The sequence below is a fragment of the Homo sapiens genome, chromosome 19, assembly GCF_000001405.40.
Source record: "Homo sapiens chromosome 19, GRCh38.p14 Primary Assembly".
Taxonomy (NCBI): domain Eukaryota; kingdom Metazoa; phylum Chordata; class Mammalia; order Primates; family Hominidae; genus Homo; species Homo sapiens.
Genome location: NC_000019.10, coordinates 20177413 through 20192817, shown reverse-complemented (window position 1 = coordinate 20192817; position 15405 = coordinate 20177413). Strand labels below are relative to the sequence as shown.

The 15405-nt window shown below is 38.9% G+C and overlaps 1 protein-coding gene and 1 long non-coding RNA gene across 3 annotated transcripts in view; one reads left to right on the top strand and one right to left on the bottom strand.

The window, feature by feature from the left end:
* Window positions 1-15405, top strand: part of LOC105372310 (uncharacterized) — a 148126-nt gene that overhangs the window by 79011 nt on the left and 53710 nt on the right. The window lies entirely within an intron of this gene.
* ZNF486 (zinc finger protein 486) overlaps window positions 1-15405 on the bottom strand; it is a 33275-nt gene that overhangs the window by 7671 nt on the left and 10199 nt on the right. The window contains exons 2-3 of the mRNA NM_052852.4: window positions 8336-8462; window positions 6736-6831 (exon numbers count right to left, since the gene is read on the bottom strand). Coding sequence (NP_443084.2) covers window positions 6736-6831; window positions 8336-8462 — 223 coding nt within the window. The remainder of the gene's footprint in view (window positions 1-6735; window positions 6832-8335; window positions 8463-15405) is intronic.

The window sequence follows — 15405 nt, the reverse complement described above, 5'->3', positions numbered from 1 at the left end:
TGAGTTCAAGACCAGCCTGGGCAACATGGCAAAACTCTGTCTCTACAAAAAATACAAAAAACATAGATGGCTATGATGACACATACTTGTAACCCAGCTGTTTGAGAGGCTAAAATGAGAGGATCATCTGAGTTTTGGAGGTTCTGGCATCAGTGAATCATGCAAATCAGCCTGGTTGACAGAGTGAGACCCTATCTCAAAGTTAAATGAGGCCAGGCGTGGTGGCTGATGCCTGTAATCCCAGCACTTTGGGAGGCAGAGGCGGGCAGATCACCTGAGGTCAGAAGTTTAAGACAAGCCTGGCCATCATGGTGGAATCCCATCTCTACCTAAAATACAAAAAAATTAGCTGGGCATGGTGACAGGTGCCTGTAATCCCAGCTACTTGGGAGGCTGACAAAGAAGAATCACTTGAACTTGGGAGGCAGAGGTTGCAGTGAGCTCACGCCATTGCACTCCAGCTTGGGCAACAAAAGTGAAACTCTGTCTCAAAATAAATACATAAATAAATATATACATATGAAGAAAAAGCTATAGAATGCCTCAGTGGTTTCTTTAAAAGCATACAGTATGCTGCCTACAAGAGACTCATTGTAGCATTGAGTCAAATAGGCTGAAAGTAACAGAAGGAAAAAAATGTGTATATCATAAAAATAGTAACCACAATTGAGTGAGGTGGTCACAATTATATTAGACATAATATGCTATAGGTCAAATACTACCATTAGACAAAGAATGATATTATATTATGGTAAAGTGAGTTAATTTACCAGGAATCGGTAACTATATTATTTATCTATCTATATGTATATGTGTATATAACATCAGGGCTCCAAAATATATAAAGCAAATATTGACAAAAGTGAAGCAAGGCATACATAGCAACATAAAAATTGTAGACATCAAGACCCCATTTGCAATAATAAATAGAAAATTCAGAGAAAAAATGAGAAACAGACAACTTACGCAACATTATAGACCATATTATTTTGCATACAGAGGAATACTTGAGACTGCATAATTTCTTTTTCTTTTTTTCTTTGTTTTTGAGACAGAGTCCTGCTCTTTTGCCCAGGCTGGAGTACAGTGGCGCAATCTCAGCTCACTACAAGCTCCGCCTCCCAGGTTCACGCCATTCTCCTGCCTCAGCCTCCCGAGTAGCTGGGACTACAGGCGCCCACCACCATGCCCGGCTAATTTTTTTATATTTTTAATAGAGACGGGGTTTCACCGTCTTAGCCAGGAGAGTCTCGATCTCCTGACCTCGTGATCCACCCACCTGGGCCTCCCAAAATGCTGGGATTACAGGTGTGAGCCACCGCCCCCAGCCGAGTGCATAATTTTTTTTTTTTTTTGAAGGAATCTCGCTGTCGCCCAGGCTGGAGTGCAGTAGAGCAATCTCAGCTCACTGCAAGCTCCGCCTCCCAGATTCACGCCACTCTCCTGCCTCAGCCTCCCAAGTAGCTGAGACTACAGGTGCCCACCAGCACGCCCGGCTTTTTGTATTTTTGGTAGAGACGGGGTTTCACCATGTTAGCCAGGATGGTCTCGATCTCCTGACCTCATGATCCACCCGCCTCGGCCTCCCAAAGTGCAGGGATTACAGGCATGAGCCACCGTGCCCAGCCAAGTGCATAATTTTTAAAGAAAAATAATTTATGTGGCTCACAGTTTGACAGACTATAAGAAGTGTGTGCTAGCATCTGCTTCTGGTGAGGGCCTCAGGAAACTTACAATCATGGTGGAAGGTAAAGAGTAATTGGACATACTATATGTTAATGAAACAGAGCAAGTGTGAGGTGAAGGATCCAGGTTCTTTTAATGAACCAGCTCTCATTTGAATTAATAGAGTGTAAAGTTTTGGTTACCAAGAGGATGTACCATGCCGTTCATGAGAAATTTGCCTCCATGACACAAACATGTCCCACCAGGTCCCACATCCAACATTGAAGATTTATTTTGCAGCATGAGGTCTGGAGAACATGAACATGGAAACCATATTATAGACCAACTAGGCTTCACAGACACAAGCAAAACTCTCCAGTCAAAACCAAGATAATACACAATATTCTTATTTGCATCTGGTATAATCTGTTAGGACACATACCAAGTTTTATTAAATTTAAAAGTACTGACGGGGTGCAGTGGCTCTTGCCTATAACCCTAACACTTTGGGAGACCTAGGTAAGAGGATCCATTAGGGCCAAAAGTTTGAGACCAGCCTGGACAACATAATGAGATCCTAACACTGCAAACAAGCAAACAATTAGGCAGACATGGTAGTACATGTCTGTAGTCCAAGCTGGTCAGAAAACAGAGGTGAAAGGATCACTTGAGCCCAGGAGGCTGAGGCTATAGTGAGCCAAAATTATGCCACAGCACTCCAGCCTTGGTGTTGGTAAGATCTTGTCTTAAAACAACAACAAATCAATTTAAAAACACTAAAATTATACATTGTGTGTTTTCTAACAAAAACTGAATGACACTAGGAATTAAAAGCAAAAGGTAAATTGGCAAATTCAAAAATATGTGAATATAAAACACTCTGATTCAACATATTCTTGCTCAGGGGTCAAAAAATTTTATTCTTCACAGATGTCAATACAACCTACAGTTAAAGGCTACAGTAACATAAACAATGTGATACTGACACAAAGATAAACAGATGAAAGACCAGAATAGAGAGCTCAGAAATGAACCCTTCTATATATGATCAAATGGTCTTTCAAAAAGTTGCTATGAGTACAAAATAGAGAAAAGTAATATCTTCAAAAAATGATGTTGAAAACTGAATATCAACACTGATAAAATAAAATTGGGTTATTTCCTTGAACGATACAAAAATATATTTTAAACAAAATACTTAGACATAAAGAAACTAACAAATCTATTAGAAAAAATACAGGAAAAGGACATTACATTGGTCTTGCCACCATTTTCTTAGATACGACATTAAATGCATGAGCAACAAATACAAGAAAAGTTTAACTACACTAGACATCAAAATTTCTGTACATCAAAAGAAAATTCAAAAGTGGCAACATCCCTTAGAAAATGGATGAAAACATTTGCAGATTTCATGTGAAGGAAGTTAATGTTCAAAATAAATAAAAACTCTTAAAACTAATCAATAAAGTTCAATAACTTGATTTAAAAATGAACAAAAAGATTTTTCATCAAAAAACTACACAAATGGGAAAAAGCATTTGAAAGAATGCACAAAATTACTGATTTGTAGAGAAATTAAAAAAACACAATGACAAACAAAATCACCTCATATCCATTAGAATGGCCACTGTAAATTTTTTTAAAAACACCCAATCTGTTGATGTTGCAATAAAAATGAAACCCATGTTGCTTCTTGCTGGAAAACAAAGATGCAGCCATTATTTAAAAATGTTATAAATGTTCCTCACTTATTATATCTATTTACAAAATACGTAACACAGGCCAGGCCCAGGTGCTCAAGCCTGTAATCCTAGCACTTTGGGAGGCCAAGGTGGGTGATTACCTGAGATCAGGAGTTTGAGACCAGCCTGGCCAACATAATAAACCCCATAATACTAAAAATACAAAAAATTAGCTGGGTGTGTTGGTGGGCACCTGTAATCACAGCTACTTGGGAGGCTGAAGCAGAATTGCTTGAACCCAGGAGGCAGAGGTTTCAGTGAGCTGATATCACACCACTGCACTTCAGCCTGGGTGACAGAGTGAGAATCCATCTCTAGAAAAAAAGAAAAGCAACACAGGACCTGGAAGACATATTTGAAAATCCATGTTTATTGCACCAGTATTCACAAAAGCCAAAAGGTTGAAGCAACCCAGATGTCTCTTGATTTATAAACACATCAAAATATGTAACATATACATACAATGGAATATTATTCCATCTTAAAAAGAATAATCTTGTCACATTTTAAGATGAACATTGAGAATATTATGTCACTTGAATTAATCCAGTAACAAAATTATGGATATCTTAAGTAGTCAAATCATAAAACAGAAAGTGGAAGGTTTGTCTGTCGAGGGTGAGAGAGGGTAAAATGAGCAGTTGTTATTTAATGGGTATTGAGTTTTAGTTTTACAAGATGTAAAGTGTCTAGAAGTATTTTACATAACAATGAGAATATACTTAACATGCCTGAAATGAACAGCTTTTTTTTGTTTTTTGGAGACAGGGTCTCACTCTGTCATTCAAGCTGGAGTGTAGTGGCACAATTTTGACTCCCCCTCCATCTCCCAAGTAGCAGGTACCACAGCTGCATACCACCATGCCTGGCAATTATTAAATTATTTTTATAAAGAGGGGTCTCCATATCTTTCCCAGGCTGGTCTCAAACTTTTGGGCTCCAGGGATCCTCCTGTGTTGGCCTCCCAAAATCCTGGGATTACAGATGGGAGCCACAACCATGCCTGGCCCTGAAAATGTACACTTGAATTAAGATGGTAAATTTTATGTTATGTGTTTTTAAAACAATTTTTTTAAAGAAAAACTGAAAAAAAATCCAGAATTATAAATCTTTTTGAAAATTACCTTCAAATCAAACAAGTATTTCTCTCACAAAAGGAAATATATATTCATCATTAAACACATGGTGAAAAAAAAGACTATCTCCATGACTACTCACTTAAACAAGATAGTTTATGGTCAGTTCTGCCTATATAGAAACCCACAGTTATCTGAGGGAATGCTCTCTGATACTCAATAAAAGCCATACTCATCAATATCCAGATATAAGGCCCACCATATGCAGACCTGACTACAAAAACATACCCTAGTGTTTTAACTACGGAGCAAAGCCCTGAAGGATATGCAGTCTGTCCAAAAATAAAATGAGAAGTACAACTACCCAAGCCCCTGTAACAAGCCAACTAAAGGTGGACCCTAGTGCAGACCCAGCAGCCTTGTCACCAAGCTACACCCCCTCTCCACTACAAATTCAGAGGGCATCTCATCACCCTAAGGGCCCAACAAAAGATCTTTACCTTCTAAAATCAGTTTATAAAAACTTGAAGGCCAGGCGTGGTGGCTCACACCTGTAATCCCAGCACTTTGGGAGGCCGAGGCGGATGGATCACGAGGTCAGGAGATCGAGACCATCCTGGCTAACACGGTGAAACCCTGTCTCTAATAAAAATTTTTAAAAAATTAGCCGGGTGTGGTGGTGGGCGCCTGTAGTCCCAGCTACTCGGGAGGCTGAGGCAGGAGAATGGCGTGAACCCGGGAGGTGGAGGTTGCAGTGAGCTGAGACTGCACCACTGCACTGCAGCCTGGGCAACAGAGTGAGACTCTCTCAAAAAAAAAAAAAAAAAAAAACTTGAAGAGGTGTTTGCTCCATCAAATTTAGGCACCAATACAAAACTATATTGTGCCCATTGTCAATGCTTCTATTTTAATGTAGCACTGGAAGCATGTGGCAGAAGAATTAGTCAAAGAAATAAAAAAATCCATTGAAATTAAAGAAAAATAAGTAAAAAGTCGCTGTTTGTAGATCGTATAATCTTGTATTTAAAAATCAATAAATAGTACATTAAAACCTGTCTGAAGTGATAAATACACTCAGTAAATTAGCAAAATATAAAATTAACATACAAGTGTATGTATGGTCTCATACACTTAAAACAAACTGATAAAATAGAGGAAGAAAAAAATCTTATTTACTATAGCATTAAGTAATAAACTTCTTAGAAAAAAACCAAGGAGGTAAAAAAATCTTTACAATAAAAAAACTATGGGCCGGGCGGGGTGGCTCATGCCTGTAATCCCAGCACTTTGGGAGGCTGAGGTGGGTGGATCACAAGGTCAGGAGTTCAAGACCAGCCTGGCCAACATGGTGAAACCCCTCTCTACAAAAAATACAAAAAAAATTAGCCAGGCATGGTTGTATGCACCTGTAATCTCAGCTACACAGGAGGCTGAGGCAGAGAATTGCTTGAACCCAGGAGGCAGAGTTTGCAGTGAACCAAGATCACACCACTGCACTCCAGCCTGGGCAACAGAGCAAGACTCCTTCTCAAAAAAAAAAAAAAAAACCTATGAAAATATTAGAGAAGATCCAAATAAATTTTAAAATTGCCGTATTAACCAGAGTGATCTATAGATTCAATAAACCTCCTATCAAAATTGCAGTGGTATTTTTTTCATAGTAATGGAAAATACATTTCTAAAAGTTACGTGATACTAAAATAACTTTGATAGCCAAAGCAATCTTGAGGAAAAAGATCAAAGCAGAAGGATATCATACTTATAATTTCAAACTATATTTCAAGACTATATAGTAATAAAAACAGAATGGACTGTGCAGAAAAAATGAACAAAAAATGCAACAAAAACTAATACTGTCACACATTTCAGATCTGAAGCAAAAAGACAACTTAAAAAAGGGTTTTAGTTTCTCAAAATCACGCAGATATTTGTGTGTCCCCAAGGCAACGGAAAAGCAGCCAGATTGTGCAATCACTTATATGCCATAAAGAGGAATTTCGCTCTCACTGTGAACTTGAAGGAAGCTCACCGAAAGAATAGTAGAATCCTTAGAGAATTTAAAAGCATGAGACAGATGTCCCTTTGTGAGAGAAAAATTAAATAAATAAATAAATAAATAAAACAGCTGCCCAGGAACTATTTCCTTTGGAACACAGCTTCCCAGATCACATTTTAAGGACTGGCTTTCTTTTTGACCTTGGGACCTCTTATCTGCATTGTCTGTTGTGTTCATTTTCATTCGCACCTACCTGGGGGTTTGGCAATCATCTCATGTCTCTTCATAGTCAGAGGTTTTATTCCTTGCTCCAGACAGGTGATCAGGTCTGGCTTAGAGACAATAATACCTGTTTCATTAAAAATAAATAGCATTAATCTTGCTTATATTTCTCAATTACAAGCTAGTAATGTGCTCAGCAGAAAGAATGTAATAAAATATTCTAGTAAATTAATACCAAAATACTAATTCATAACAAATTTCTAAATATTTAGAAAATACTTTCAACTTTAAGGTTTCTTTTTTTTTTTTTTGGAGATGGAGTAAAATAAGTAAAAAGTTGCTGTTTATAGATCATACAATCTTATATTTAAAAAACATTAAGCAGTACTTTAAAAACCATAAATAGGGCCAGTTGCAGTGGCTCACACCTCTAATCCTAGCACTCTGGGAGGCCAAGATGGGTGGATCACAAGGTCAGGAGTTTGAGACCAGCCTGGCCAACATGGTGAAACCCCATTTCTACTAAAATACAAAAAGCTGGGTGCAGCGGCACGTGCCTGTAGTAGTACCAGCTACTCAGGAGGCTCAGACAGGAGAATTGCTTGAACCCAGGAGGCAGAGGTTGCAGTGAGCTGAGATCATGCCATTGCACTCCAGCCTGGGCAACAGAGCGAGACTCCATCTCAAAAAAAAAAAAAAAAAAAAAAAACATAAACAATACCTTAAAACCTTTCTAAACTGACAAATACACTCAGCAAATTAGCAAAACATAAAATTAACATACAAGTATATGTATGGTCTCAAACACTTAAACTATCTGATAAAATAGAGAAAGAAAAAATCTTATTTACTATACCATTAAATAATAAATTTCTTTAAAAAATTACTAAGAAGGTAAAAAATCTTTACAATAAAAATCTACGAAGAGAAGATCCAAATAGATTTTTAAATTGCCACATTATCCAAAGTGATCTATAGATTCAATAAACTTCCTATCAAAATTAGAGTGGTATTTGCTCTTCTTGCCCAGGCTAGAGTGCAATGGCTCAGTCTCGGCTCACCAAAACCTCTGCCTCCTGTGTTCAAGGGAATCTCCTGCCTCAGCCTCCGGAGTAGCTGGGATTACAGGACTATGCCACCATAAACGACTAATTTTGTATTTTTAGTATAGGCGGGGTTTCTCCATGTTGGTCAGGCTGGTCTCAAACTCCCAACTTCAGGTGATCTGCCCGTCTCAGCCTCCCAAAGTGCTGGAATTACAGGTATGAGCCACTGCGCCTGGCCCTGCATGAAGGCTTTTTAAATTTACTACCTGATACTACTGAATCAAAAACTGATGGTGGCAATGAGATTTTCAGCTGAGGGCAACACTATTTTATGCCACTAAATTTCTGAAATTACCACTAATTTAGAGTGAAGAATAAAGCTCAACTCAGCAATGTGGAAAGTTTGGATTAAGATGAAACATCTTGAAGAAATTCTTTTCTAAATAAACAAATTCTGAAGATTTTCTGGAAAAAGGACATCTGGAACTCTTTTATGCAAAGGATAAATTACTAAAATCATTCTGCAAAAAAGAGAAATAAAACTTTTGGGGTTTTTTATGAATTATGTATTTAAGTTATCCTCACCAAGGAAGACCAGGTGTCTGTAGTTCTCTAACATCACATCCCTATATAAATTCTGCTGTGCAGTGTCCAGGCAATGCCACTCCTCCAGAGAGAATTCTACAGCCACATCTCTAAATTGCAATGATTCCTGAAAAACACACACACACACACATTTTCACCAAGTCGCCGTTGGTGGAATTTTTAATTTAAGGTGAAATGAGAGAGTAAGAGAACTGATTCTTACTTATAGGATTGACTAAAATTATCCAATAAAATAATTTTCAATACAGAAATATTTTCTAATGTATTCTCTATCTCTGAAAAAAAAGAGCAGCCTAAGATCCACAACATTAGTTCATATAATGATATTTTTCTAGATAATAAAGTATAAAATAAAGGGCATGAACATGAACATGTACATTTTTGAGTGCTATATTTACATCATACAGAATCAGTTATGAATATTTTTCAGACAGAAAAGACATGTTGAGTTAGAAGTCATCTCTCCAATTTTAACATGTACAATAAGCTGAAGTCCTTCTTATGCAGGATTTTTTTTTCCAAAAGATCTGGCATAAAGTCTGATTTTTTGAATTTCTAACAAGCTCACCAATAATGTTAATGTTTTTGTCCCAAAAATGATATTTTGTCAAATGCAGTAAGTGCAAGAGCCTGTGTTTTTTTCAGATTTTCTAGCCTGTAAACAAAGATAAGAGGCTTCATTTCCCTAAGAAAAATATGTTTAAAAAAGAAAGCTGCCAGATTTAATGTGAGGTTTATGCATATCAGCTGCATAAACATAATAATGAATAGAAAAATAATTATCTCTATAGTGAAAAAAATCTGTCAGAGAGCTATTTCACCAACTGAATCATTAACCATTAACTGCACTACGATAAATTTTTATGATGTCCTAATTCACACAGAAGAACACAGCATCACTGTTGAAATATTCCTCCCAAAGAAAGTAAATAAAATCTGAATTTAACCATAAAGAAACATGTTTTATGCTAACTTCAAAGTTTTTGATAACTCCTATGTTCTGTAATTTTTAGTAGTAATTTTAAGTAGGCTTCATTTAGCACCCAAGAGAGCAGGTATCTCCTAATAATTTCTTTCAGAACTTTCTGGATAATAAATGCCATTCCATATAAAAAAGCATTTTCTTAATCCTGTTCTGCATAGAGCTAATGGAACATACAGATGAAGCCTCAACATTACATGTTCTTCATCTATACTAAGGACCACAATTTTCCCCAACAGAAATCTTGAGTATCCACATCTTTCCATGTTCAACAGCCACAAAGGGAACATTTTTAATATTGCAGATTACAAATTCTTGCTGAGAATTCTGCATGGCATATAAGAAGCTATGACATAGAGAATGCAGAGAAAGCTCTGGGATATAGGAAAGAAATATTTTTCAGAGACCCTTGACTATCATAAGAATTTTAAGTAGTAAAACCAAACTCAGGGAGGGAAAACACAAGTAGAGAAGTAAAGGTTTGTGAGTACTAAACTCATGGGGGTCCAGGAGGCAGAGTGGACACAGCTCTTCATCTGAGACACGTTTACCTTAAGAAGAGCCACTTTTTTTTCTCCTCCTCCTCCTCTGGAATTCCTTCTCAGATGAGATTCTCTGGAAAAATTACACCTGCATCTTGAGAACATGCCTTTAAAGGTATCAGTAACACATGATTACCTGCTGGCATGACATCAACTGGCAAAATGACAGAAAAAGCCCACCTATTTCTGTCCTTTGAAACAGAAGAGATTCAGGGAACAATGAATTGCTCCATGAAGATAGAAATATAAGTTTCTCATTTCCTGTCCTCAGGTGCCCTCCCTGCCACAGACACCAGCAATTTCCAGTAATGGAATTATGCACCACACTGACCTGTCTGTACCAAACCCAAACAGAACAGGCCCTGTGACCACCCTTTAGTGCAAAGGTGGAACTTAACTCCTTTGTATTGTATTTTGAAGTGCTCATACTTGATTCTGGCCTCACCTTAGAGTCACATGAGACCCTTCATTAAAACAACATAAGTGCTTCCATGCAGAACAAACAGAAGCTGTGGGGAGGGCACAAGAGGTTTCTGCAAATTGGCCATGTGTTCCTAAGGAAAAGCCTGGGCTGGTAATCACTAAGCTAAGCATTGCCTCTCAAGCTTTAATGGGCTTATAAATCACTTGGTAATTTTGGGTCCACTTTATGTAATGTGATTCTGGAGGCTTGAAAAGGGTCCATGAATGGGTGTTTTAAACAAGTCCCCTGTCAATGCTGAAGTTGCTTCCCCTTGGCTCATTATTAGCATTAGTTAGAGAAAGCAGGAACAGCACAGGGTCCCTTACATTTAGCACTCTTTTCACAACCAAATACTTCTGATACAAATAGGGACAACGCATCTCCACCCTAAAGTTTTATATGCTTCGCTGGCTCTTTAAAGTTTATAGAGGAAACTGAAGGCAGAAATGACAGAGTAAGTCTGTATTTAAAAAACAACATGTACACAAGTACTAATGCAATGTTTATTAAGCAGGTACTTTGTGCTCAAGAGAATGATACAGAGCACTGTGCTGGGCATAGCACATTCTGTGATTTAATTCTCATAACACCCTGAAAGCTGGTACTAAGTGTTTAATAAACTTTAGGATTTAGGTAAAGGGTGCGGCATTTTTATTTCTTCTTCTGTTTCTCTGTCATGAATTTTTTTAAAACACTGTAAAAGCAAAATATAGACAGATGAAAGAGATAGAAAGGAATAATTTAATGTAATTTAGAGAAAATTTTATTCTGTTCATATTTACTTTTCTGTGACTTGTGGAGCAACTACTGGATCTGCAAGAATAGAAAACAAGTTGCTAAATAGAATGTCTCTGCAAACACTGGCTTTAACAGAAAATTTAAAAACTAAGACCCTAAAATACGTACTTTATTTTTCCCTTTTTTTTTTTTTGTTTTTTGAGATGGAGTCTCGCTGCCACCCAGGCTGGAGTGCAGTGGCGCGATCTGGGCTCACTGCAAGCTCCGCCTCCTGGGTTCACGCCATTCTCCTGCCTCAGCCTCCTCAGTAGCTGGGACTACAGGCGCCCACCACCACACCCAGCTAATTTTTTGTATTCTTAGTAGAGGTGGGGTTTCACCGTGTTAGCCAGGATGGTCTCGATTTCCTGACCTCATGATCTGCCCGCCTTGGCCTCCCAAAGTGCTGGGATTACAGGCGTGAGCCACCGCGCCCGGACTATTTTTCCCTTTCATCTGCTTTTGGGATTCAGGGAATTGTGAGCACCAGCTCTAGAAAGGCAGCAGGATTCACCAGCCAAAACTCTGATCTCTACTAATCAGTCCTGTGAGGCAAGACTCCAGGGTAGGGTCAGACCTAAATAACGCCTCCAAAAAGCATGAATCTGATCAGGTCTCAGGCAGTGTGAGGACTTATGTAGAATTCTGTTCTCTATGCCACTGGGGTACTTCCAGTTTTGTTTCTTCTAAGCTTACCTAAAAGAAACTTAAATCCCAGAGTTCCTATAATTTTAATTTTTCTAGCCACTGCCCTGTCAACTTTATACTATATACTAATACACAATTTAAACAAATCCCTTAAGGTTTTCTAGGGTAATTTTATTAGAAAATCAATATGTACACTTTAGAAGGTAAAAAAAAGTAGAAATTATACAGCTGGGTGCACTGCCTTACACCTGTAATCCCAACACTTTGTGAGGCCAAGGTGGGTGGATCACGAGGTCAGGAGTTCAAGACCAGCCTGACCACAGTGGCTGGGGCCAGCAATCCCAGCTACTTTGGAGGCTGAGGCAGGAGAATCGCTTGAACCCAAGTGGCAGAAATTGCGGTGAGCCAAGATCATGTCACTGCACTCATGCCTGGGTAACACAGTGAGATTCTGACTAAAGAAAAAAAATTATAATAACAATTATTCTATTCATAAATATCCCTTCAGGTGTACAATTCAGAAGTCATAACGGCATAAAGTGGCCTAAATAAAACCCAAGGTTCTGGACACATCTATATATTGTGCCAACCATACAATGCACAATTCAATTATTTATCCAGTTGCTGGTCTAGACTAAAAGTTTCTGGACTGTAGGAACCATGACTGCTTCACGTATTTTTTTAATGGCCATATGAAATGGAAGCAACTAGTTTATCTATTTGGGTCTCCAGATCTCCTCCTTGTTTATCATCCAAGTACCAGGAAACTGGAGAAACTCTGATCTGGGTACCAAAAAAGGCACCTCTTGTATGAGGGCATGAATGAACACAGGATGACTCATTTCTCTTACACTGAGACAGAAGCAGAATTAACCACTCTTGTCAGCCTAACACAATTCTGCTCTGGACATCCTCAAATGCCTCAAAGACACCTAGGTGATTGTGAGGGAATTCCTGGTGAACCAGGGCTGTTGGCCCAATGATAAGCCATCTGGAGAAACTCAGGCTGATTCTGAATAGAAAACAACTGCCTTGGTGGAGCTCCAGAACCTACATCATCTGTCCTGATTTGCTAGCTCTTGGATGAGAGAAAGAAACAAAAATACTCTACTCCAGTATCACATTTTACAGGTAATTATAGTTGTGATCAAGGCTCTGGATACTTTGTGGCCTTGATCTCTCACTCCTAAGATGATTATTTACACTTACAGATTCTGCCATCAGATTCTATTTCCTCCTGGAGCCTCTCACATCACTGTAGCAGGCCAATGAACAAGATGTGAAAAATCTCAAAATGCCACACTCCCAAATGGGGCCTGTAAGATATCTATCTTGACAACTTACAATGCAGAAAATGACTTTTGTTAATTTTCTGTACATTCTCTATCCAAAGTCTGGCTTTTTTTTTTAAATCCCAGGCAGAGGGCAGACCTTATCTGCAAATTCTAGGTAGGATCAACTTGGCTCTGCATCCTTTTGTGTTACACCAAGTGGAGTACAGTCAAAAGAGAGCTCTCATAGAGGCTGCTCTAACACATTCTAAATAATAAGTCTACATTTAAAAAAAAGGTGACATAACATGAATATAAGTAGACAGTTTATTTGGGTCAAGCTTAAGGGTTATAACCTGGGAGCAAAGATTCAAGTTGCCTGGAATCTACACTTTGATTAGTAGTATTTACAGGAAGATATGTCAAGACAAGACAGGGACAGAAAGTGGGCTGATGCAGAGTTGTTTGTCAAAAGTTTTTATTTATTTACATAAATAACATTGATTATTGATTAGATATCTATCATTATGTTTTAGGGCATGGGATAGTGTCCAATGTGGCATCATTAGTTTAATTTATAGTCACTTGTGCCAATAGTGAACAGTTTCAATAGATGAATACATCGTTCAAAGTGGGAGAAAGACATAACTGCACTTTCATTTTAACATGTCTCTGAGTTTGATAACCAAAAGAACCTGCTTTATTTAGACAAAAGTTTTTTATTTCCCAAATCTCAAGATCTGGATTCAAAATATAGAGCTGTAGATTTAGGGCCTGAATGGCAGGAGGAGCAGCAGGTGTTACCTGCACATTTGTGAGCATTTTAGCAAGAGGAGGAAGGTGAAAGTGGAGATTCTCTTGTCAACATGTCTACTCAATGCACACATGTTACTCTAACTGGGTTTGTGGGCCCCATGGTCTCTGAATCTGTTTCAAGTCTGAAGATACAGGAGTCATTGAAAGAGATAAAATGATTGATTGCTGCCCTATGAAATTTGTAGAAATCTGATCTAGCCTCTCTAGAAGTGAATGTACAGGACTATAGATAACAAATAGAGACACAATTCTGCCTGCATATTTAGGGGACAGCATGCACTTTGCTGCACAAGTGTGAATTGACTGGAAGCCTGACAGGGAAAGGCCTTGCTAAATTCTGGTTGGCACCTTATGTGTTTATATCATGTCTGGTAATTCTAGACAGTGTTTGGAAACAATAATTAGAAGAACAATTTTCTTTGGCCAGGCGCGGTGGCTCACACCTGTAATCCCAGCACTTTGGGAGGCCGAGACAGGCAGATCATGAGGTCAGGAGATCGAGACCATCTAACTAACACAGTGAAACCCCATCTCTACTAAAAATACAAAAAATTAGCCAGGTGTGGTGGTGGGAGCCTGTAGTCCCAGCTATTCAGGAGGCTGAGGCAGGAGAATGGCATGAACCCAGGAGGTGGAGCTTGCAGTGAGCCGAGAAGGCACCACAGCACACTCCAGCCTGGGTGACAGAGTGAGACTTTGTCTCAAAAAGAAAAAAAAGAGAAGAACAATTTTCTTCGCTGGACATGGTGGCTCATGTCTATAATCCCAGGACTTTGGGAGGCCTAGGCGGGTGGATCACCTGAGGTCAAGAGTTCTAGACCAGCCTGGCCAACATGGTAAAACCCATCTCTACTAAAAATACAAAAAAAAAATTAGCCGGGCCTGGTGGCAGGCACCTGTAATCCCAGCTACTCAAAGGGCCGAGGCAGGAGAATCTCTTGAACCCAGGAGGCAGAGGTTGCAGCGAGCCAAGTTTGCGCCATCACACTCCAGCCTGGGGGATGAGAGACTTCGTCTCAAAAAAAAAGAACAAATGTTTACAGCCCCAGAAAAACTCCACAATAATAGAACAGAAAGAAAACGTTTTGGCTGGGTGTGGTGGCTCGTGCCTGTAATCCCAGCACTTTGGGAGGCCGAGGCGGGTGGATCACCTGAGGTCAAGAGTTTGAGACCAGCCTGGCCAACACTGACAAACCCCCTCTCTACTAAAAAATACAAAAATTAACCAGGCATGGTGGCACATGCCTGCAATCCCAGCTACTAGGGAGGCTAAGGCAGGAGAATCACTTGAACCTGGGAGGCGGGGTTAGTGAGCTGAGATCGCACCATTGCACTCCAGCCTGGGCAATAAGAGTGAAACTCCATCTCAAAAAACAAACGTTTTTATTTTACAATTAAACTTGAATGTGACATGCATCATAGTCCATCTGCTTAAGAGACTGCAATGACAGAAAGATGGTCAACATAATTAGTCCATAAGTAGAAGAATTTAAAGCACCATGTCATACATCGTTCATCTTAAATCTACCTGGAAATTGAAGAGGCCATCT